The 23,000-nt window shown below is 52.0% G+C and overlaps 2 long non-coding RNA genes across 4 annotated transcripts in view, besides 2 other annotated features; one reads left to right on the plus strand and one right to left on the minus strand.

Moving 5' to 3' along the window:
- The window catches only part of LOC105375070 (uncharacterized), a 107,357-nt gene that overhangs the window by 61,762 nt on the left and 22,595 nt on the right, over window positions 1-23,000 (plus strand). The gene's annotated exons all lie outside the window — the stretch shown is intronic.
- Window positions 3,745-10,575, minus strand: LOC105375068 (uncharacterized). Of its 3 annotated transcripts, none has more exons than XR_926820.4 (3): window positions 10,415-10,575; window positions 4,102-4,305; window positions 3,745-3,779 (listed from the first exon to the last, which is right to left on the minus strand). It is a non-coding gene; the product is annotated as an uncharacterized LOC105375068 (long non-coding RNA). The 3 variants fall into 3 exon arrangements; XR_926818.3 differs by lacking the exon at window positions 3,745-3,779 and adding an exon at window positions 9,198-9,339 and having other exon boundaries at window positions 3,789-4,305; XR_926819.3 differs by lacking the exon at window positions 3,745-3,779 and adding an exon at window positions 9,194-9,339 and having other exon boundaries at window positions 3,789-4,305.
- Window positions 18,546-19,053: an enhancer, noted in NCBI's record as "H3K4me1 hESC enhancer chr6:43845203-43845710 (GRCh37/hg19 assembly coordinates)". NCBI's record gives its function as "activates a minimal SCP1, AML or CMV promoter by ChIP-STARR-seq in primed H9 embryonic stem cells {active_cell/tissue: H9 hESC(primed)}" and the evidence as "EXISTENCE:reporter gene assay evidence [ECO:0000049][PMID:30033119]".
- Window positions 19,054-19,561: an enhancer, noted in NCBI's record as "H3K27ac-H3K4me1 hESC enhancer chr6:43845711-43846218 (GRCh37/hg19 assembly coordinates)". NCBI's record gives its function as "activates a minimal SCP1, AML or CMV promoter by ChIP-STARR-seq in primed H9 embryonic stem cells {active_cell/tissue: H9 hESC(primed)}" and the evidence as "EXISTENCE:reporter gene assay evidence [ECO:0000049][PMID:30033119]".

Raw genomic sequence — 23,000 nt, forward strand, 5'->3', positions numbered from 1 at the left:
GCTGTGTGAGGGGCTGTTCCTTCCACCCAGAGGCAACTGGAGCCTTCCTGGGGAAGGAGCTGCCTGACCCCTGACCCCTGACCTTTGGGCACAGGCTCCGAGCAGGCTGGGTGGCCCAATTTGGACTCAGAGCTGAGTCCCGCCTCTCGACTCCACACTTGGCTGAGCTGTGAGTTTGAGAGAAACCACTGCTCCTCTCTGGGCCTCTCCTTCCTGCTAATAAAGTGGGAATCTGGGGCCATGGACTCAATGGCCATCCCAAGGAGTCCTTGAACTGGTTCCATCAGGCATCAGGGAAGCCTCCTCTCAGTCACATGAAGCCTGATGGACAGGAGTGACCCTATCACAGCTGGGACTTTGAAATCTTAAGTGGATGGATGTGTGATCAGTCCAAGCAAAGGAGAAATTCTTCAAGTTCCCACAGTCTAGTCCCTACGGACCTTCCCGGTTCTGTCTCTTAGTGCTTCCCGTGTTACAGTTTTCGCCGCAGCAATAGCAAGCTGCACGCGCACTGCGATCTCCTCCCTTTGAACTTTTGTTCCTGCTCTTCCCAGGTCTGGAATTCCCTTTCCAGGCTTACGCTTCATTTCTCAAGGTCCCCTCTGGCAAGGCCCCTGGAATCCTCCCTCAGGCCCCTCCTCACTCTATGGGTGCATTGACCAATTTCACAGTATGCTTTGTGTCTGTCTGTCTCTTCCAAGAGACTACAAACTTCTTGACAGCTGGGGCCTTGAATCCTCAGGCTCAGCACAACTGCTGGTGCACCGCAGGTGCCTGGCCAACATGGGACATGGGCCCAGAAACACAGGGATGGCCCGACACCTTCAGTGCTCATCATGCTTAGGGGAGATGAGGATGACACGGCAGCAGTTATTGAACTGCCTGTGTGTTGATGGCAGAGGTGAGAATTATTACAGGGCAACATGAAAATATGAATTGGGGGGCAGTCTGTAAGTAAAGATGTCCCAGAGAGTTTTGATGTGAAGGTGGTGAAGAGCATTCCAGGCAGAGGGAACCAAAGACCAAAGTGGGGGTGAGGAGAGGGGGAGCAGGAGCTGGGAGTGGCTGAGAGGGTGGAAGCTGTGGCTGGGGTGGGCAGGCCAGCCCCTCCTATGCTTTGGAAGGGATTTTAGACCTTATTCCAAGAGCAATGCAAAGCTAGCTATTAAAGGGGTTTAGGCAGGGGAGTGAGCAAGGTGATGAGATTTGCATTTCTAAGAGATCACTTTCTCTGCAGCGTGGAGAGTGGATTAGGAGGGACAAGAGGCTATTGCTGTCATGAGAGGAGACAGAGAGGGGAATGGACAAATTGAGAGATTCAGGGTCGGAGCTGACAGAACTTGGAGACTGACCGGATTTGTAGGGAGAGGGAGAAGGAAGTGGGGCTCTCCACTCACCAGCTCGTCCCTCACAAGGGGCAGCAGGTGGTGCTGGTCAGACCAATGTGTGTGTATTATGCACTGTGGACCACGCGAGACGTGGCATGGGTAGGTGTGGCTACAGCCAGCCTCCCTCCTCAGAGCAGCCCTCTTCACTGAGCTCCAGGGGGTGGGAGTGAGGCAAGGCTGCAGCTGCCCTGCTGTCCGCCACTGTCAGAGTGCCAGGACACCTGTAGGTATGTGTGGGAGGACCCAGAAATCCACGTGGCATGGATATTACACATGCTCCCAGACTCACAGCTCTATTCACACACTGGCTTAGATATAAACATGGGCCATGTGCACATACCAGACACCCAGATTTCCATAGCGCATGCCCCAGACATGCACAGGTTTCCATGTATACACAGATCTATTAATGATGTTGTAATAATAACCAACATTTATTGGGTGCTTGATATGTGCCAGGTATTATTTTAAACACTTCATATGAATTGCTATTTAGTCCTCACAACAACCATATGGGACATACGAATCATTATCTCTGTTTTAGAGATGAAGACACTAAGGCCCAAAGAAGTCACATATCTTGCCCAAGGTCATGTGCACAGCAAGTAAGGGGCAGAAGTGGGATTTGAACTCATGCAGTCTGGCTACAGAGCCTAAGCTCCTTGTTACCACACCATTTAGTGTATTTACCACTGATGCTCAGCTGCCGTCTGGTACACAATCCCACAGAAATGCACCAATATCAATAGAATGTACTGATAATGTGTATATCATGTGTGTACTCCCAGGCATGTACACGTGGGTGCCTAAATATCATAGAGTGCATACTGTATATCATATACATACACTTATGATAAAGGCAAAAATGACTGCAGAGCTATTATGGGTGCACACATATGTACATTCATCTACATGCAGTATACATATTCAGCTCACACATGCACATATGTATGCGTATGTATGCATATGCAAGCACATATGCAATAACACATGCACGCAAGGCAGTTTGCACTCATGCACACATATGCATGCGCACTCCACACAGATGCAGAATGCATGCAGTAGACATACTTGCACACTGGCACACACACATGCAGAACACTTGAGTCCACGTGTACACACGCAGTAACATGCACACACAGCTCACATGCATTATGTATACTTTCTCATTTGTGTAGTACACACATGTTCATATATGCAACACACAGGTGGTGAACACTTGCAGAAGCATGCACACACATAGGCAGTACACACAAATACTCTCACCCTTTCTCACACAGGGCAATTTATGACCGTCCAAGCTCATGTCCGGACTTCCCATTAGCATTAATGAAGTGATGTCGCCAGGGTATTTGGAAACACTTGTCCTGCAGGGGCGGGGGTAGAGGGTGGCGGCGAAGCGGAGAGGAGAGGGAGGCCATGGTCACAGAGGAACAGCTAATTATCCGGCTGACCAAGGTTTGATTGTTTTTCCCACGCCTCTCTCCAGTGTCCCCAACCCAAGGCCAGGTTCTGGCTGTACCAGAGGGTGTTGGGGGGAGGGAGCAGGGATAGGGCAGGGGAGGGGAAAAGGGGGACAGGAGCAAATGATGGGGGCAGGCGGTAAATGACCCAAATTTCAGTGTCTTCTTCTCCCTCATCCTTTTTGCCTGGAGCTATCTGAATTGTTTCCTGAAATGGTTCAAAATTCCTAAAGGGTTGTGTCTCTGTGGCCCTTTTCTCCCCACAATCCTTGGCAAGAACCTTATATCAGAGTCAAATTTGACATCTGCGTTTCAGGAGCTTTCATTTGCTGACCCAGGGGCCATAAAAGGAGTCCTGATCCCACGCTACCACCTCAATATCTAGCACAGTACAAAAAGGCCATTCCTTCTTTCCTTCATTCATTCTCTTAGCCAATATTTATTGACCTGGAGACACTGTTCTTTTATTTTTTGATTTATTTTTTATTTTTATTATTATACTTTAAGTTCTAGGGCACATGTGCACAACGTGCAGGTTTGTTACATATGTATACATGTGCCATGTTGGTGTGCTGCACCCATTAACTCATCATTTGCATTAGGTATATCTCCTAATGCTCTCCCTCCCCGCTTCCCCCACCCCACGACAGGCCCCAGTGTGTGATATTCCCCACACTGTGTCCATGTGTTCTCATTGTTCAATTCCCACCCATGAGTGAGAGCATGCAGTGTTTGGTTTTCTGTCCTTGCGATAGTTTGCTCAGAATGATGGTTTCCAGCTTCATCCATGTCCCTACAAAGGACATGAATTCATCCTTTTTTATGGCTGCATAGTATTCCATGGTGTATATGTGCCACATTTTCTTAATCCAGTCTATCATTGATGGACATTTGGGTTGGTTCCAAGTCTTTGCTGTTGTGAATAGTGCTGCAATAAACATACGTGTGCATGTGTCTTTATAGCAGCATGATTTACAATCCTTTGGGGATATGCCCAGTAATGGGATGGCTGTGACCCAGAGACTCTGTTCTAAGCAGCTCAGCAACTGCCTCAGGTCTCCTCAGTCTATGTAAAACCTTTTCCAAGCAGGAGTGAGTGTGGGCTTACCATGAACACCTCAGTTACAGAAATGTCTCCCAAACCTTTTGAGCATTAAAATAACGATGGGAAATGACAGTAATATAAGTTCTGTAAAAGCAAATTGCCTTTGCACACCTCTTTCCCGCTTGCAGAAGTGTCTTTCACATACCTGATTCATCTGAACACACAGCAGTCCTGTGAGGTTAGCATGGCAGATACCATTCCTATTGCACTGATGCAAAAACTGAGGCTGAGAGAGAAGAGGTTTGCCTGTGGTCATGTGACTAGGGAGGACCAAGGTTGAGGCTTGAATCTTTTCAGCCACTTCTCTGTGATTCACCACATGTTCTTTATTTCTTCATGGGACTTCCTCCTGAAACATGAAATGAATTAGACTTTCTGTGCTTCTGGGGAATATTTTGATCTGAGATGCCTGGCACAGCAGTGCTAGGGTGGAAGGTGGAGGCTGTGGTCCTCAGTCACAGATCAGGAGCTCTGGGAGAAAGCTAGGTGGCTACTCTGTACCCCATGTTATTTCATGGGTGGAGACATTGAAGTCTTTCTGAGCCTCGATGGTACAGGATGACTATGGGGTTGGGGAGCAGATTAAGGATAGAAGGGCTGGAATGGAGCCTCCACAGAGCCCAGGTATAGACACTGTCTCCAGGCAGGTGTGCCTTAGGATTTGTTAGCTGTTTTCTAAACAAGGGAAACTGTAGGCTTGAAAGTCATCAGGACGACAATATTTATTGAACACCTATTACTATATTATGAAATCCTGAGCTTGGTACTAGATATGGTGGGGGAATCAATGGATATAGCTCTCAAGGACTGGGAGTCTGGTGGGGGAAGAAAGAGTCCCAGGCTTGGTGTCACAGAGCCTAAGCCTGAGTTCTGTGACTTAGAGGGTCATTCATTTCGTATGACCTTGATGGAAAGTCACGTTAATCTTGCTAAGTCTTGGTAGTCTAATCCACAGAATGGTGCTCCTACCTTCCTTCAAGGCTGTTGTTACAATTAGATACGTAAAACGCCTGTCCCAATACCCCTCTCAGACATCACGCTCAATTTACCTGTCCCTTTCCTCTCGGTTTCCTGCCAGACTCTTTACTACCTCCCTTCTCCCTCCCTCCCTTCTGGCCATTTCCTCATTATTGACCACCTGTTTTGGAAACACCTGAATTCTTGGCCCAACTCTGTCAACTGCCCCACCTTCCCCAGCCCTATCCTAGCTTGAGTGGGAGTGAGAACCCTCTTAGGAGGGGTGCTGAGCAGCACTTTGGGGCCTGGGGTCAACAGCCCTCCCCTGCAGCCTCACCCTTCACCCCTCCCCACCCCCCAGAAGCCAGGAGACCCAGAACACTCCCCTCCCTCCCTCCCTGTGAATCTGGCTTCCTCAGCCAAAGACATTGCTTTTCCAGGGAGAGACTCACTTCACCCAGCTAGGGGCTCTTAACAGCTGGTGGGGAACTGAAGCCCTTCCTTAATGTCCTTGAGGAGCCGACTCCAGAGAAAGCCGGTAGACCTAAATCTACAGGTCCACAGCCCCACCTGTAAGGGGGTAACTTGAAAGCCCACCCTTCAGGGAATATTTGCTCTCCTCTTAACTCTGCAGCTCAGTCCTGCTAGGTGAGGATGGGGGTGGGCAACTGTGACAAGGAGTCTTTTTCTGGCTGAACAGAAAATGACCCCTGATGAGGTCGGTGGGGTCATGATCTGTCTGTCAGACTCTGCAGAACCTGGGCAGACTTCTCCTCTCTGCCTAGGCAGAGAGCACCCAGATGGGGATGAGGACTTCTGGGTCCCTGCCCTTGCTGGGTCACTGCCTCCAGCTGACCTCAGCTCTGCTCTGTGGACCTCAGTCTCGTGCCCTGTAAAATGGATAATACCCCCCACCCCCAGCCTGCTCAAACTGGAATGTTATGGGCTTTCTGTGAGACTATGAATGTGAAATGCCTTTAAGTGCCTGCAGTATGGTAATGGTAACTCAGGTGGAACTGGGTCCCCGTGAGGACTTAGATGGGGCTGTGGGGTTCGGTCTAGGTCACAGTGTGTTCCTGGTAGGCAGAAGGGCTGCTAATGCCGAGGGGCCACACTTCACTGGCTGTGCCCCTTTTCCAGCTGTAAAAGCTGTAAAAATGCCCACTAAACAGAGTCAAAGATGCCTCAGAATTCTTTTCAGGGGCAGTGAGTCCTACCAATGCTGCCAATACGAAGAGCTGCCTGCCGGCTGCCTGAGTACCCTGGTCAAGCCCCCTGGGCTCAGCTGTTCCCTCGGGAAGGTGGTCTGGTGGGGATCTCACAGTGTCCCAGCTTCAGGGCAGGGTCTGGCCAGGGGTACCTTGCGGGGGTGGGTGAGTGGGGGATGCCTAGAGACAGTGGGTTGGGAGGGGACCAGCCAGGAATGTGAGGAGGGAGAGCAGAGTGTGGGAGCAAACAGTGGCCTGCCATGGGGAGCCAGACTGTGGGTGCGGAGATGGGAAGGGGGTGGGCACTGGCTGAGAGTGAATGGAGATGAGGACAGGGGCTGCCTGATTGCTTCCTATAAGAGAATTTCACACTGGACTGTGAACCTGTCCTCCAGCATTTGACCGGCACTGGTGTGGAGTGGGTTTGGGAGGGGGCACAGGACCCTGGAATTTCTCCCTGACCCCCAAGCCAGGCCTCTGTGCTTTCTCAAGAGTCTCACCAGAATAGCCTGAGACCTTCACGGGGAGAGCTGAACTCTGCCTGCTGTGGGTCACATGAACTTTATACCTAAAGCTCAAGAGTTCTTTCCAAAAAAGTGCCTGGAGTGCTTTTATGTGCAACTGTGCTTGGAAAATCAGGGGTACAGGGGCACTAGGCCAAGAAGCCTCTTCTTTCCATTTCATCCTCGCTGTACGATTGAAGGCAAATTGCCTCACCTCTCTGAGACGTTGGGTCTACTTATCTGTACAATGGGGACAAAATAACCTCTGTCCACCACTGCAAGGGATGTGGGGCCAAGGGAACCAGTGTGAGGCTCTGAAATAAACTGATAGGACCCCAGAGGTGGTCTTTGTGGGTGGGTGGGGGGCACTTTGGTGGGACGTCGGGAGGAGGGGGAGGGATGTAGAGCTTCTAAGCACCTCCTTTGCCCAGCTCACTTAACAATAAGCACATGATTTAATGCGGCCAGTAAATCCTTTTCCGCCTCCGCTTCTGAGCTACCACACGACAGGCTCATAATTCAGTTTTAAACAAGTCTAGGATTAGGGCTGCAGCTGTGGGATGCAGGGGGAGTCCACGTGTGTGCAAAGAGTGCTTCCGGCCCAGTGGGGGGGCTGAGCACGCTGCCTGCCATGCAGGAGCAGGGAAGGGGCTGGGGTTGAGTCCGTGAAGCTAGGAAGGAAGGAGGCCTGGCACCTTTTTCAAAGGGAGACCTCATGGCCTTGGGGAGTGCTTAGGGCCTTGCAGAGGAATTGCTGGAACCACAGAGTCTCAGGGCTGGAAGGGACCTTAGGCCCCATCATGCAGCCAGGCCCTGGGCCACAGTGGGAAACTTTGGAAAGGGGGAGGAGGGGAAGCCATCGTGTTGGTCTCAGTTTTCACATATTGAATTTATTTGAAGTAGGGCCTGTTTCCAAATTCCCATGAGGATGTACGTGTCAGTTTTTCAGAACCTGAGGGTTGCGGAATAAGGATGGAGAGGAATCCTGAAACCCCAGCTCAAGTTCAAGGATGAGAGGAGGTGGGAGCGGCAGGGGCAGTCTTCAAGCCCAGGAAAGGCTGTCCTGTGGAGCACAGAATGGGGTTGTGTGTGGGCCACCCCAATGGGCAGGATTAATATGAATGCGGGAGAACAACTAAGACACGGCTACCTTGAACCCCAAGCTTTGCAGCAATAAGAGGGCTGGCCTGGGAAGTAAGGAAGTGAGCTCCCCTAGTATGGAAAGACAGCAAGTGAGGAAAGAGCACCTTCCAGCTGCTACAGAGAAGACCCAGCACTACCGAAAGGGCAGCTGACACAGCTACATGGTCAGACCGCCCTGGTTCAAATCCCAGCCTCACCAGTTACCAGCTACATAGGCCAGCTGTGAGTTCAAAGTTTGGGTACTTTGTCTCTCTGAGGCATTTGATATGAGGATTAAATAAAGTAGTAATTCAATAACTGTTTTCCCATTTCCCCAAAAAGTCTCTTAATTTAATGTTTTATTTTTTTGAGACAGAATCTCACTCTGTCACCCAGGCTGGAGTGCAGTGGCACAATCTCATCTCACTGCAACCTCTGTCTCCCTGGTTCAAACGATTCTCCTGCCCCAGCCTCCCAAGTAGCCTGGACTACAGGCGCCTGCCACCAGGTCCAGCTATTTTTTTTTTTTTTTTTTGGTATTTTTAGTAGAGGTGGGGTTTCCCCATGTTGGCCAGGCTGGTCTCAAACTCTTGACCTCAAGTGATCCGGTCTCCCAAAGTGCTGGGGTTACAGGTGTGAGCACCTGGCCCAAAAATATCTCTTTAATTCTCTACTCCAAAGAAACAAGATTTTCCCAGTGGACTGGCCTGCCCCAGGGCATGGTGGGATGTTTGCCTCAGGGCCGAAGCATAGTTTGCCCGAGGGCATAGTGGGGCATTCACCCTAGAGCAGGTTTGCCCTGGGGTGTTCCACCCCAGGGGATAGCGGGGTGTTTCCCCCAGGGCATGTCACATAATGGGATGCCATAGTGGGATGTTGGCCCCAGGGCATGGTGGGATATCTTCACCCTGGGGCATGGTAGGAAGTTTGCCCTGCATATTGGCCTGACTTCTTTACATACTAGCTAGATCCTGGGCTCCCAGGACACCTGGTGCTTTCTTGTTTTCCTCCATTTTTTTGACCTTCTCTTTTATCTACTCTGGGGAAAAGAGATACCAGGATCTCATCCACTGCTCTGGCTCCTGCCACCACCTTTGCCTCAAGCACACCCTGCATCTCCTGTCTGAAGCCCTCACCTGTCTCCAAGACCCCTCCCTCCTTTTCTCCCAATGAGACCTGCTCCTCCATGAAGTCAGCCCAGCCATGACTCCAGAGCCCTCTTAGCCGACAGCCATCACAGAGTTGAATGCAGGGTTATTTACAGGAGTGTGAGCAGGGTCAAGGGAATCAGCGTGAGATGGAGCAGTCCAGGCAAGAGCGATGGCCAGAGACACCTCTGGGTCTGAAGGGACCGGGAGGCAGCTGCTACTGGAGCCTGGTGAAGGCCGTTGCTGCAGGAGAGGGGTCATTTGCTAGGAGCTGTGCAGCCATAGATAGAGGGACATACCCACCGCACTGTGGTCTAGCAAGGTTGCTGGAGGTGCCTCTCTCTCCTCCCATCTTCAGATTATCTGCTGGTGCCTCCCATTGGCTGAATTCAACCAGAAGCCACAGGGCAGGAGAGCCAGGGTGAGGCAGTCCATGGGGCCAGCTCTCCAGAACATAGAAGGGTATAAAATGAAGTCGGGGAGAATGCCAGCACAAGCCCCAGCTCTGAGAATGACTGTCTTGGCGCTCTGGCCTCAGCCCTTCTCCCCAGCAAACATGCCCCATGTACCCTCTATGTCTCCAGCTAAACATGCCCCTGAGCTTGCACTGCTCCAACCTGCCAAGTCTGTACCTTTACAATGCTGTTTCCTGGGCCTGGAAAGCCTTCTCCTAACTTCCTGTCTTGGCTGAGGCCTGCTCTCGCTTGGGACTCTTAGCTGAGGTATTGCCCCTGTCCCCAGGCCCCGAGTCTGAGCTTTCAAAGCCCCCTAGGCCCATCTCTAGCCAGCACTTAGCTCTCCTCATGTCCTGGTTTCTTATTCTGAGGGTCTAGGAGAATGCCCAGCACACAGTAGGTGTTCATTTAAATGTTTCTTGAATTGAATTCTAGTACCATGCCACTGTAGAAGGGTTATTTTCTATCAACTTGGAAGCAGAAACCATGTCTAACTCTGCTGAGGATTCCTCTAGCACCTGATACAGAGGCCATTTAAATCACGCCTGTTGATTACTGGCATGAATAAGTGAGTATGACGGAGGCAAAGCCGACGGAAAAACGTGGAGCATATAAACCGTGTCCTCTGAGAGGTCAGGAGACATTGCTTCTAGCTAGGAAGAACCAGGGAAGATGTTACAGAGGGGCTAACTCGGGAGGCCACCTTGAAGGATGGATGGGTGGAGAAGAACACTTCTGGTGGGGGAAATGGCGTGAACAAAGGCCCAGAGGCCGGCGAGCAGATGCGGGTAGGAAAGGGTCAGGAAATAAGTGGAGGAGAGGTGGAAGTCATCTTGTCAGCCTCCAGGCTAGGAAAAGCCTTTCCTCTATGTGAAGTCTTTCCTGCTTTCTTCCTCCAGCCTTTCTTCTCCTTCTGTCCAGACCCATTTCTGTCCCACCTCCTCCTGGAGTTCTACACATCTATCTACCCTGCTCTGCATTCCTGCTGCTCCGGCTTCGCACCACAGAGCCTGTGAGCCACACCCAGGAGCCCTGCATAGGCTCCAGAAGCCTCTTCTCTCTTACCTCCCTCCTTTGGGGTCCTGGCTCGGAGCCTCTGGGGGCTGGAGCTGTGAGTTCAAGTTTGGGCAGGAGTCTGCTTACCCCCCAGGGACGTGTTGGGACCATCTGGACCTCAGGGAGCCAGACACGAAACCGCCAGTCAGTGGAGCCGGGTGGCTGGCCACAGTGTGCCAGCCTGGGTGTCCGCCCTGTCTCTCCCTCCCCTCCCCTCTCTGAGGGATGTCCCCAGTGGACTGGCTAGTGGCCCGGGGCTCCGAGGGGAACGTGCTTTCTGCAGGCTGTGGCTGAAGAAGGATAAACCAGCTGTCCTGCCAGCTCTGTGTGGGGAAGAGGGAGGTGACCCCAGCTAGCTAGGCCCCCACAGGATGCCAGCGGCAGGCAGAGTGATGAAGGCTCTGGCCTCTTCCCCCTACCCCACAGGTCATTTTCCCCTTGTGATCCTTGATGAGGAAGTCAGAGCTTCCAGTACTGGGCTGGTTGTGGGGGCAGATAAACCCCAGGAGAATGTTTCTGGACGTAAGCTCAGGGCCTAGGAGAAAAGCCCATGCTGACTGGGATCCGGGAAGCACTGACTTCTCAGGTACAGAGCAGCTGGCTCTGGGAAAAACTGGAAAACCAAGTTTGTGTTCCCCAGCCGGCTCCCTGTGGTGGGGTACAGGGAAGGAGCTCCTCCTGTGGTTACCGTGCTTGGGCCCTCTCAGGCCCCACTGGGGCTGAACACTGGGCTGAGCTCCTGCCATTCCTCAGCCATCTACCAAGCTCCTACTGTGTGCCTGGTGCCCACTGGCCCTCAGAAGATGTCTGAAGCCAGAAACGCTCCCACAGATTCTCTTGACCTCCTCTCCAGCCCCTCCCCCAGCCCTCCCAGGCCTGAAGGGCAAAGGCAGCCATGGAAGAGGGGGTGCTCAAGCCCTGCTCCAGTGATGCAGAGAGGCCTCCTCTGAGAGGGGCCAGGCATGGAGGAGTGGGCCCCAGGGGGTGAGGCTGAATTAGTGGGCGAGCAGCGTGAACAGGGCTTGCTCCCCAGTGGAGGAGGGCAAATAAAGCCCAGGGATCACTCTTACCCTACACGAAGCCTCCCTGCAGGGTTGACTTCCCCAGCTGTTGGTTTCCTCTCAGAGTAATAAAAAGAATCAAGATGAGGTTCCCATTTCCTTCAGATTCACTTGTTGATTCAATCCTTCCATCCCTCCCTCCCTTGGTGCTCACCTGCTCATCTTGTCCCTTCCCTCCCTCCCTCCCTCCCTCTCTCCTTCCTTCCTTCCTTCCTTCCTTCCTTCCTTCTCCCCTCCCCTCCCCTTTCCTTCCCTTTCCTTCCTTTCCTTCCCTCCCTTCCCCTCCCCTCCCTTTCCCTTCCCTTCCCTTCCTTTCCCTTCCCCTCTCCTTCTCCTTCCTTTTCATCTTTCCCTCCTTTCTTTCCTTCCTTCCTTCCTTCCTTCCTTCCTTCCTTCCTTCCTTCCTTCCTTCTTTCCTTTCACTCATCTAAGTACCTGATAGATACTTGGCCTTCTGCTAAAACCTGGGAATCTAAAGAAGTGGGAGATGGGAGTTCTTAATCTTTTTGGAGCAAAAATCTTGATGAGTAATGAACAACATACACCCCCTCTCCCAGAAATCTGCCTGTTACTAACCCGGGTAAAAAATTCTGGGATGCTGTCAGCCTAGCGGGGGAGGCAAACATGAAACCAGGAACTAAACACGGGATGAGAAATGCTAAGTGGATTTAATTTCTGGCTTAGTCTCCTGCCAGACTTAGTCTCTTACCAAGTCTCTTACTTCTCTGAACCCCAGTTTCTTTACCTTTAAAAGGGTGATAATTATATCACCTCCCAGTGTTATTGTGGAGAATGAATGAGATAAACTCTAGAAAGTTTATCTAGCAGTGCCTGGTATATATTACGTGTTTATACATGTGAACTCACTTTTCCTTCTCTGCATTGCATACTTGAGGGATGCAAACTCCTATGAGAGCCCTAAAGAGAGAGAACAAACACTACCAGCAAGGAGAGGGTTATGTTTGAATGGGTTCTGAAGGATGAGTAGGAATTTGCAATCATTTCTCTCTTTTTTAAATTATAAAAGTTCTGTGTCCATATCACCAGGGTCCAGACATGGTGCTGGCAGTTCTACTTATCAATAATGTCAGTGCTTGTCTAGCACTCTGTCTCTGCCCTGTACTGTTCTAGACATCTTGCATATGTCAATTCACTCAAAGGTTATCTCATAATCCTAGGAGACTGGTGCTAGCATTACTCCAATTTACAAAAGAGAAAACGGAGGCATAGAAAGCTAAAACTGTCACACAGCTGACAGGTAGGAGAGCTGGGATCTAAACTCATGTAGCCTGGCTCTGAGAGTCCTTGGTCTGAACCATTACCCTACCATATTGCCTTTCCAGAGTGGCTCTGTTTTTCTCACTAAAGTCTGAACTTCTGACTCCTACTCATCTTCTTGTAGACGGCTTCTGTTGGAACAAAGGATCTAGAAGAAAAAAATGGGAGTCCTAGAGAAAATCTACAGCCTCTCCTGAAAATACGAGTCCAACTTTAAGCATGGAGGCAAGGCCGAAGGAAGTCTCCAGAGGACCAACTTTAAGGAGTGGTGGGAGAATCAGCCAGGAGCCAGGAGAGCTAGGTTTGGGTTTTGGTTCTGCCATTTGTAAACCAGCCTCTCCAGGCTTCAGTTCTGTCCATTTGTAAATGAGCATGTCAGTTCCAGGGTCCTGGCATTGGAGTGAGGTCTATAAAAGCCCTTGAGCCAGCTTTCCTAAGTGCCTCTCGTGGCGTTACTAAGGGCCACTCCTGTACCAGGTTCTCATATCTGCCTCCAGGGCACAGACAGGTGACCTGTCTTACTTCAGGTTACTTCAATTTCTCATAAAGAACCTGCCAATGCTCTTCTATTAATACACCAGCCCTCTCCCCAGTTTCCCAGAGACTTGCCCAGGAGAGCAGGAGCGGTGCGGCAAATACCCAGATCTGGGAACCAGCTCTCTATCAGAAATTTATTTTGTAAATTGCATCCTATATTCTAAGTCATGAGGTCAAATTACTGGCTATTTAAAAAGATCTGTGATGAATCCCTTTGTAAAGTGGGGAGAGAGAGTTCCCTGAGGGCGTCTTTGTAGAAATCTGAGTTTGTTTAAAGGGAAGCAAGACTTATCCTGGGCTCCCATTTTACAGATCAGGAAACCAAGGTTCAGAGGGTCCATGTGCTTCTCTCAGGACCCAGGCTGGGATAGAATCTGAGCAGAGAGCAGGCAGGCCCCACCCCCCAAGAGGAGCTGGGGAGGGGGCAGACTCAGCGTGCCATGGCAGGCCAGAGCAGAGAATGGAAGTAGAGGCTTGCGCTGCCATGTGGGAGAGCTGGCAGGGTGGGCTGCCTAGTGGAGGGCCAGCCAGGAGTCTAGGTATCCAACAGTCCATCTTGGGTCAGTGGACCTCATTCACTTGGATAAGGCAGCACAGTTTTGTCAAGCACCCATTTCATACCAGGGTCTGCCAGTGCCCAGTGCAGTGCCTGGCATAGAGATGAGGCTTACCCAGTCATCGCTGGATGATCACCCAGCAGTTCTAGGATCAATTCCCCTCCTCAGTGGGTGGCAGACTCACAGAGGGGAAATAAGTCAGGAATGGAAAGCCTTATGCTTCCATAGACTTTTCTGGATCACCCTCTATGTGCTTAGGGCAATGCTTGGAGCTGCTAGGCAAAGGGATGCTGGGTGGGGACACGGTGGGTAGTGGAATAAACAGGAGCTAAAGTCAGCCCTCACCCTGAGGGGTCCCTAATCTGCAGAAGGAGGCAGACTTGTCTGCACCCACGAGGAAAATTTGGGGACAGAGAGCACAGAGGCTGGAAAGAGTAGAGTGCATAAGAGGGGCAGTTCTAGTGTCGTTCATTCTTTAATTCATGTGTTCGACAACTATTTACTGAGTACCTACCATGTACCAGGCACCACTTTAGGGTCTGTGGTTACAGCAATGAATAAAACAGGTGAAAAACCTTGCCTTCGTGGAGATTGCATTCTGGTAGATCAGGTAACATTCAAATACACTAGTCAGTGGCCATATTTGCTTCTGAAGAAATATAAAGCAGGGGAAGGGGATGGAGCGTAGACAGGAGATAGCAGGCTACTTTACCCAAGAAGGGCAGGGCAGGCCTTTCTGAAAAGGTGACATTTGAGCAGAGCCCTGATAGAGCCAACAGAGTGGATATATGGGGAAGAGTTTTCAGGCGGCAGGAGCAGTAAGCGCAAAGGCTCTGAGGCAGGTAAGTCGATGCTCGTGTTAAAGGAACAAGGAGCGAAGCCAGTATGTTTGGAGCAGAATGAAGGGGCGAGTGGAGGAGCTGAGGTCAGGGAGGTAACAGGGGAGCAGATCGTGTGGTCATAGTACATCCACAAATGAAGTGAGTGGAGGAAGGACCTGATCTGACTTACACTTTAACAGGCTCTCTCTGGTTGCTGTGTGAATTCACTGTAGGGAACGAGGTGAGGGTGAACACAGGAGGCCAGCAAGGATACCCTGCAGCAGCCCAGGTGAGAGATGGTGGGGGCTTGGATAGGGTTGTAGCAGGGGCCAGGAGAGAAGGACTAGATGGAAAGTCTTCAGCTCCCACCCTGCCACTCTCTGGCTGTGTGCCTTGGGCAAGTTACTTAACCTCTCTGAGTCTCTGTTTTCTCATCTGGAAAACAAGGTTAGTAATAATCCTTACCTGGTGGTATTTTTACCATGCTTACATGAGACATAAGCACAGTCCCTGGCACTCTTGATGCTCACTCAATGACAGCTCTCAGTAATTTCTGACCCATAGGAGCCTATTGCACTGGGACCACATATTCAAAGTGGAATAAACTGAACCCACAAAGACTGAGGAGATCTAAGCTGGTTCAGGGGGACTAGAGGTTTAAAATGTGTTTAAGCCCCCTGATGTCTTGGGGCTCAGTTGGGCACTGTCCCCACTGCCCACATTCCATGCCCATGCCCCTGGGCAGAGGTGCCCTTTGGCCTCCTGTTTATCTGTTTGCCTTTTACCTGCATTGAAGTTTCATCTGAGAAACTGGCCCCACCAGTCCTGGGCCCAACATCAGCCCGCCCTCATCATGGGTTTCCAGCTGCTCCTGTAAAGTCAACAGTGCCCAGGAACAATGAAGAAGGAGGGGACAGCAGGGAGGCCCATAGCCCACTGTGCTCCCTCGCAAGCATGTGACCCTCAGGAATGACTGGCAGAGGTAATGATGGGAAACAAGCCCCAGGGAGGGTGGAGGGCTGAGAAAGAAACCCTAGTCTCAGGCAGGTGCTGGTGGCTGCAGTGCCTGCAGGACTGGCCCTCCTGGCTGTGGACAGGCCATGGCTATTCTAGAGACAAGGGATGGCTCTGGGGCAACTGGGAACATGTGCCTTTCCTGGGGGACATCAGCCTAGAAGCTTTTAAGTGATAGGCCCAGAAGGGGCTTGGTCCAGCCCTGCTGCATCCCCGCATTGACTCACTCTTCCATCTATTTAGTTGAAATACTGAGGCCTGTTGTGAGCCAGGTCCTGGGGTTAAAAATGTTTCTCCCACAAGGAGCATTTGCTAGGGAAAGTGAGAGCCAGAGAGAGAGAGAGAGAGAGGAAATGACTTTCCATAGGTCGCACAATGAGTTGCTGCAAAGCCTGCCTAGGAGTCTTGACTCCCTGTCCAGTGCTCTGACAAGCAAGTGCTCCAAATGCTCCAGACACCTCTTGGTGGCCTTGGGGAGCTCATTCCTTAGTGCATTTATGTCTGCTTGGTTGCCTAGGAGAGGCCTGAGGGCTGTGACCAGCTGAGGGCCACAGGAGTTAGAGAGGAGCTGGGCATGTCTCTAGGCTGGCTAGGCTGCAGGGAGCCCGTGGCCAGCCTGGGGGAGGTGCCTCTTGCATGCTGTGTGGCTTCCATCCCTGGATCAGTTTCACCATCTTTTACCTGGTAATGGGTTGCCCTACCAACCTGTCAAGGTTGCTGTGGGGAATGAGAACATGCCTTTCTAAGTTCCCCACCGTGGAATCTGCCTTGAGCAGGATGAGGTCACGTGGTGGCACAAGCCAAGATGGGAGAGTGAGGTGAGTCCCAGATGTTCCCAGGGTGTCTGTGCTGGGCTTCCACTTCCAGACTGGCTGTACCTGTGGGTATGGGGAAGGGGATGGCTGTGGGGAGACCCACCCTGCCCTTAGGGAGTCTGATGGGGAAAGCTCAATTTCTGCCCATAGGAAATCCCCAGACTCATGAGCCCAAGGGCTTAAGTTGTGAAAATTTCACGCAGTAGTCCTGTAGGCCCCGGCCAGACCTCACAGAGCTCCAGCAGAGGTTGGTGTGTGAGCTGGGTGCCGGCCTGATCTCTAGCTCAAAGGGAAGGAGGCCTGTGCCTTCTGGCCATGAAGGCTGCCCCGATTTTGGTCTCCCAGCCCCACTTCTGAGGGCCAGCCACCCCCTCTGTCCAGGCACCTCTCCTGGTATGAGCAGCCCCTGCCTACGGCTCCCACCTCTGCCCCCCATGCTGCTATGTGTTCATTCAGTAGGTCCCCCTGCCCTAAGCAGTGATTCTGTCATGGATCGATGACAGGCATGGTGGGAACCAGCCATGAGTTGCCCAAGGCTGCTACCTTCAGGGGGTGCACTACTGGACAGGTGCGTGCACAGCCACCGCTCACCCACACAGCGAAGTGGGTCTCCTTCAAGGGCTGAGTGTGTGGCCTCCACACTCAGAGTTATGGTCCAGCTGCAGGAAACCATGTACTGGCTGATGCCACCTGGATGGCCAGTTGTCTGGCTGGGGCAGCCGATCCCCCCCCATCTTTCCAGTGCCTGCCCCCCTGCATTCCTGGGGTCCCAGGTATCCCCCTGAAGATTCTTCTCCCTGTCTGTAGCATCTGGCGCTGCTAACCCAGCCCTGAAGTATGCCCAGTGCTTGCTTCCTATGAGGCCCAGCCTCCCATGGAGCCTTCGGGTAAGCAGGCGCTGGGGAGGGTGGTGGGAACAGCACTGAAGGTCGGGGCAGGGGCCAGCAGGGCCTGGGAAACCGGGAGATCCACGATGGGTCAGGAGAGACTGGCTCCTGTTTGTTGACCCTGAGCTGTGGACACAGGCGAAGGCATCACCTCCCTTTCCTGGTCTCCTCCCTTCCCTGGTCCTCTGTGGTCCCAGGCCTGCCCCCACCCAACTACCCAAGGCTTCCCCACTTCTTGGCCACCTCCCTGTTCCCCGGCCACCCCACTCCGGGCTCACTCCAAGTGGGGCTTACATGTAAAAATAGCCCAGGTTTTTTTTGAGCTTGTTATCTACTATTTTTATCAGATGGTTCAAGCAAAGCATGGCCGAAAAAAGGGAAAATCACACAGCTCTGTTTGCCAAGCTCAATAGAAATAGCACCAGGGTGGGTTATTTTTAACAAGATGAATACCCCTGTCCTCTGAGGTCTCCCCTGGCCCCATCCCAGCCTCCTTTGTCTCTCTGCCTGGACAGCAGATTTTAAAATACGCCCACAGTTGCCAAACCACTAAATGCACCCAAGACAGCGACTGAGGCCGTTGGAGCCAAGGAGGGCTGTGGGGGATACTTTTTTTTCCCTTTTTCCTCCCCTCCCTTGAAGGAAATCACACTCTTTTGTTTGAAAAACCTTCCAGGTTGGTTTTTGAGGCCTTTTCCTGGTTGTCCCACTCCCACGGGAACAGCAGAGGTTACTCTGAAACATGCGGTGGTTTGGGCAGATTGACCCCAGAGGCCTGGTGTGGCCCGTGGCAGTCTGTGGTGGCTCCTGTGCCCAGCTGTGGCAGAGCAGGAACACAGGAGGAGCCTGAGAAGCCACGTGGGGGGAGAGGGGTAGGGAGAGGCCTGCGGAGGAGGGCTGAGTGGTGGAGGCGCCGAGGGGGTCCTTGCTCAGCCACTGTCCATGCAGGTGGAATGGCTGGGAGCCAAGGCTTTACTGTGTTTTTCAGGCCAAGCTGTCCTAGCTTGGCCACGACAAAGCCTCAGTTGGCTGAGGGCTCAAGCGTCCTCCGCATTGAAGTTGACACCGGAAAAAGTCCCAGGGTATGGAATACCACCTACCACTGTGCAGCACCTATCACTGTGAGTACCAGCCCAGGAGTCAGGAGACTTAGGGAACAAGTCGCCGCCCCTTTTCAGGCTTTGTGTCCCCCATGTACCAGAAGAGGCCTGGACTAGCCTGGGCTCTCTGGGGTGTGCGGGGTGTGCCTGAGCGTACAGAACCACTTCTGCAGCACTTTTCTCTGTGGTCAGGAAGGGAAAGAAAATAGAAACAAAAGGTAATGTTAATTGAGCACTTACTATTGGGAGGAGGTATTAAATGAAACACTTTACATCGCATGTGTCATATCTCACTTATTTTCACTATAACCCTATTACTATCCTTTACTGATGTTCACAGAGCCACTTTCTTCCCTAGTGGTCATATAGAAAACCCAGAGAAGGACTGTGATCAGCAGGTCTGGGATCACGAGCCCATCCTGGGGCCATCTTTCTGACCAAGGGGACGGGAGGCTGTGACTGGCCATCTCTGATCCCAGGCCTACCCCCATGGCCAGGAGCTGGGACACAGCAGTTGACAGTCCTGCCAGAACCACAGACATAGGGGACTGGGCTGTTCCACCAGATGCTGCTGGGGAGGGGGAGATGCTGGGCAGAGGAACTTGCAGCACCCCCTGCAGGGGGTGGAGCCAGGCACCGACTCCAGCCACCCGATCGATCCCGTCTTCTCTTATCGTGCCTGACCAGTGGCTATTCTGCTGCAATTCAGGGCAAAGGGAGAGAAAAGTGGGTCATGGGTGCGGGGGGTGGGGGGGTGTGGAGGGTGAGTGGAGGTGAAAAGGACCCCAGTGTAACCCTACTTCAGCTATACTGGACCCCAGGCTGGAGCCTCCCTCACCCCCACCCTGCCTTGTGTCCTGCTCTGACTTGTCTTGGGCCTTTGTACGTGCTGCTCCCTCTAGTGACAATGCCCCCCACACCCTCCCCTTCTCATTTGGTAACCCCCATACATTTTTCAAAACTCATCTCAACAGCCCCTCCTCCAGGGAGCCTTCTTCCCTCCCCAGGCAGGACGGGGACTCCGGACTCCCGGCACACACCTCCACTGGGACTATTCGGCCTGCGGTGACTGCATGCCACTCGCCTGCCTGGGGGCAGAGGCTGTGTCTTATTGCTTCTGTGCTCCCAGGACCCAGCACAGTGTACAGTACAGAAAATATGTGTTGACTGAATAGAAGGGAGAAGAGGCAAAAGAAATAGGGAATAAGAGGGAGAAAAGAGTGAGGAGAAGGAGAGAGAGAAGTGCAGGCTGGGGCCAGTGGGGTGCAGGGGCTCAGTGAGGGCCATACTATGAGGCGTGCGAGGGGCTGCTTCAGGCTGGAACTGGGAGCACAGATTCCTCCAGTCCTGGAGGCCCTGGCCCCAGTTACTCTCCTTGGGGCCAGTGTCCTAAGTGGGGAGAGGCCATCTGGCCTGTTATTCAGTGGCATCTGTAGATGGTCTGTTTTGTGCCTGGCACTGTGCTGGGCACAGGGCTGCTGGTCTCCACCAGCTGCTCTGGCAGCCGGGATCAGAGTGATGGGGAGCAAGATCCTTCCAGGCATCTGCAGCTCTGAGGAAATGATCTGCCCATCTCTGAACAGCAGGCCTCACCCAGGATCTCTGCCCATGGCCTTGGCTGGCACACTTCCCAGGGGACGTTGCATGGCAGGAACACCACTGGAAGCTGCGAAGCCCCGTCAGTCCTGCCCTGCTTGCTTCTCATCCCTGTAGGAAGCTCTGAGAGGAGGTGTGGAGGCTTCTCTTGGCTCCTTTTGGGATGTAGCTCCTGGCTCCCACCCAGGCTGGCTCCTCACTTGCCACCCCTACACACACCCCAGCCCCAGGGGAGGATGGGGCAAGGGAGGGGAGGGAGTCAGCCAGCCGGCTGCTGCCTGGCCTGGTAATGAATCGTCCCAAAGTTTGCTGCTCTGGCTGAATAGCTTCCCTTCTGAAAGGGGCTTGTGACAAAGGGGACATTGACATCCTCCACTAGACAAGGAGGGCCGCAGGCATGCACAGGGGAAGGCCCTTTGGGAGACGGCGGGAGGCAGCTGCGGGGATCCTGACGTGCTGCCACTGACTCTGCCTGATGGGCTTGGCTGGGTCTGCCTCCTTCCTGATTCTGGCACTGAAAGGCCTCAGGACTAGGGTGTCTGAAGTGACAGAAGATCTCCTTGGGAGCCTCTGTGACCCACAGTGACCAGCTGAGTTGGGGCAGGGACCAGGGAGAGGTGGAAGGGGGTCGGGAGTGGAGCAGAGCTGGCTCACGCAGAGCACTGGGCTGTTCAGCTGAGAACTTAAAATGTAGCCTACCTTCGCCGGACACTTCTTCTCCTGGGGTCCTGATGGCCAGGATGCTCCCCTGGCCTCCTCCAGACCCTGGCACAGGTAGACTACATTGCTAGAGGTCAGGGTTTCTATCCTGTATGTCTGGAGGTCCCTGTGGCATCTGGCAAAGTGAGTGGCCTGGGGTGGGAGCCCTAGCGCTCAATCACGGTTCTGGGTTTGATTATGGTTTTGTTTGTTCAGAAGTTACTGGCAACAGTATTTTTTGTTGATTCAATGTGATGTGCATATGGATGTGCACATTTGGCTTTCTCCACCAAAAAATCTGGTTTGGTGGAGTCGGATTAGTTTGTAGCCCCACCTTTAGGCCTGAACTAATTCATGTATTTATTCAGCAGACTTTTTACGAGTGAGGAATGTGCCAAGTAATGGCTGAGGACCTGGAAACCCAAGGGCTGCCCTACTGGGCCACCCTGTGCCCAGTACCCTTGAATTTGAGAGAGTAAGACATTTGAGATTGGACAAGAAACATCCCTGAGATTGACCTTAACTTGATGAACTCATAAGGACAAACAAACCATGGGTTGGTGGGGTGGCCTGCCTTGAGTCTGCAGCCAGGCCATTTCATGGGACACTCTTGAAATGCCTTCCTGATGCCAGGCACGGTGTCTGCTGTGGCTTAGCCCATGAACCCTGCGAACCACATCATCAAAATATGTATGTGTACACATGTGTGTATACACATGTATGTATACATGTATGTGTGTGTGCACATGTGTGTATACATGTATGGGTGTATACACATGTATGTATACATGTATGGGTGTATACGTGTGTGTGTGTGTGTGTGTTACTCTTGCCTTTTCAGAGGGGATATCAAGTGAGAATCCTGACTCTGCCTCTTATCTGAGGATAACAATAGTATCTCTATGGCAACTGACTTATACTCCCTGTACCTCAGTTTCTTCATCCATGAAGTGGGGATAAAGGGAGTAACTACTTCATTGGGTTGTTGTGAGGATTAAGTAAGCTAATACCGTAAAACACTTGACATTATTTTGCACGTAGTAGGTACCCAATAAATACTCACTATTATTATTATTACTACTGCTACCACTGCTTCTAGTACTATCACTTCAGAAGGTGCCTTAGGTTGAGTTCTCCAGAGGCAGACTGTCAGATGAGGACTCATAGCTAAGTGATTTGTGAGTTTCCCAGGGAAACTGGAGAGGGATTGGGGGAAGCAAGATGGGAAAGGAAAACAACAAAAAGGGTCTGATTTCAAGTGAAGTTGATAGCTCCAGCCTGGTTCTGGGGGAGGACTCCAGAGTATTAGTTATAATACCTCAGGGATGTCTCCATCCCAAGCAAGGGAGCTGAGACCTTACGCTCCTGCACTCCTGTCATTGGCTAAGGGTCACTTTGGAGGATATAACTTCCAAGTACTTCCAGATCTGCAGGCAAAGCAACTCCTATAGCCTGAGGGCAATTACCCAAGGAAGAATGAATAGAAGGGGAAGCCACAGAAGGTGAGAGAGTGTACCCAGGATGATAGAGAGATCTGGGGGCAATACCAATAGTATTCCCCATAGAAAGCTACTGAGAGGAATGAATGAGCAAAGCCCCTGCCCCGTGCCTGGTACATGGCAGGTACTTGGTAGTCATAGGCTCTCCTCCTCTAGCCACAGGCGTCTCCCAGTCCACGGCCAGGATCACTGTGGGGTCTGGAAGGCCCAGCCAGGCCCAAAGCCTTGTATATTTGCATAGGACAGTGCTGTGGCTTGAATGTGTTCCCCCAAGGTTCATGTATGGCAAACCTAATCCCTAATGCAACAGTGCTGGGAGGCGGGGGCTAATGGAAGATGCTTAGGTCATGAGGGCTCCACCTCATGAAAGGGTTAATGTTGTTACTGTGGGAGTGGGTCCCTTATTGTGGGAGTGGGCTTATTATAAAAGCAAGTTCAGCTCCCTTTTGCTTTCTCTTGCTTTTGCCCTCTCTTGCCCTTCTTCCTTTTGCCATGGGATGATGTAGTAAGAAGGCCCTCGCCAGATGCCAGTGCCATACTCTTGGACTTCCAGCCTCCAGAACCGTGAGCTAATAAATTATTCTTCTTTATAAATTACCCAGTCTCAGGAATCTGTTATAGCAGCACAAACTGACTAAGACAGACAGTGACTCTATCTGTGATTTAAGGGACCAGTGAGAAGAGCCAGCTTTCTCAGGCTGCCTGAAGCACAGAGGTAAATAAGTGTCAGC

The sequence above is a fragment of the Homo sapiens genome, chromosome 6 (genome assembly GCF_000001405.40).
Source record: "Homo sapiens chromosome 6, GRCh38.p14 Primary Assembly".
NCBI lineage: Eukaryota > Metazoa > Chordata > Mammalia > Primates > Hominidae > Homo > Homo sapiens.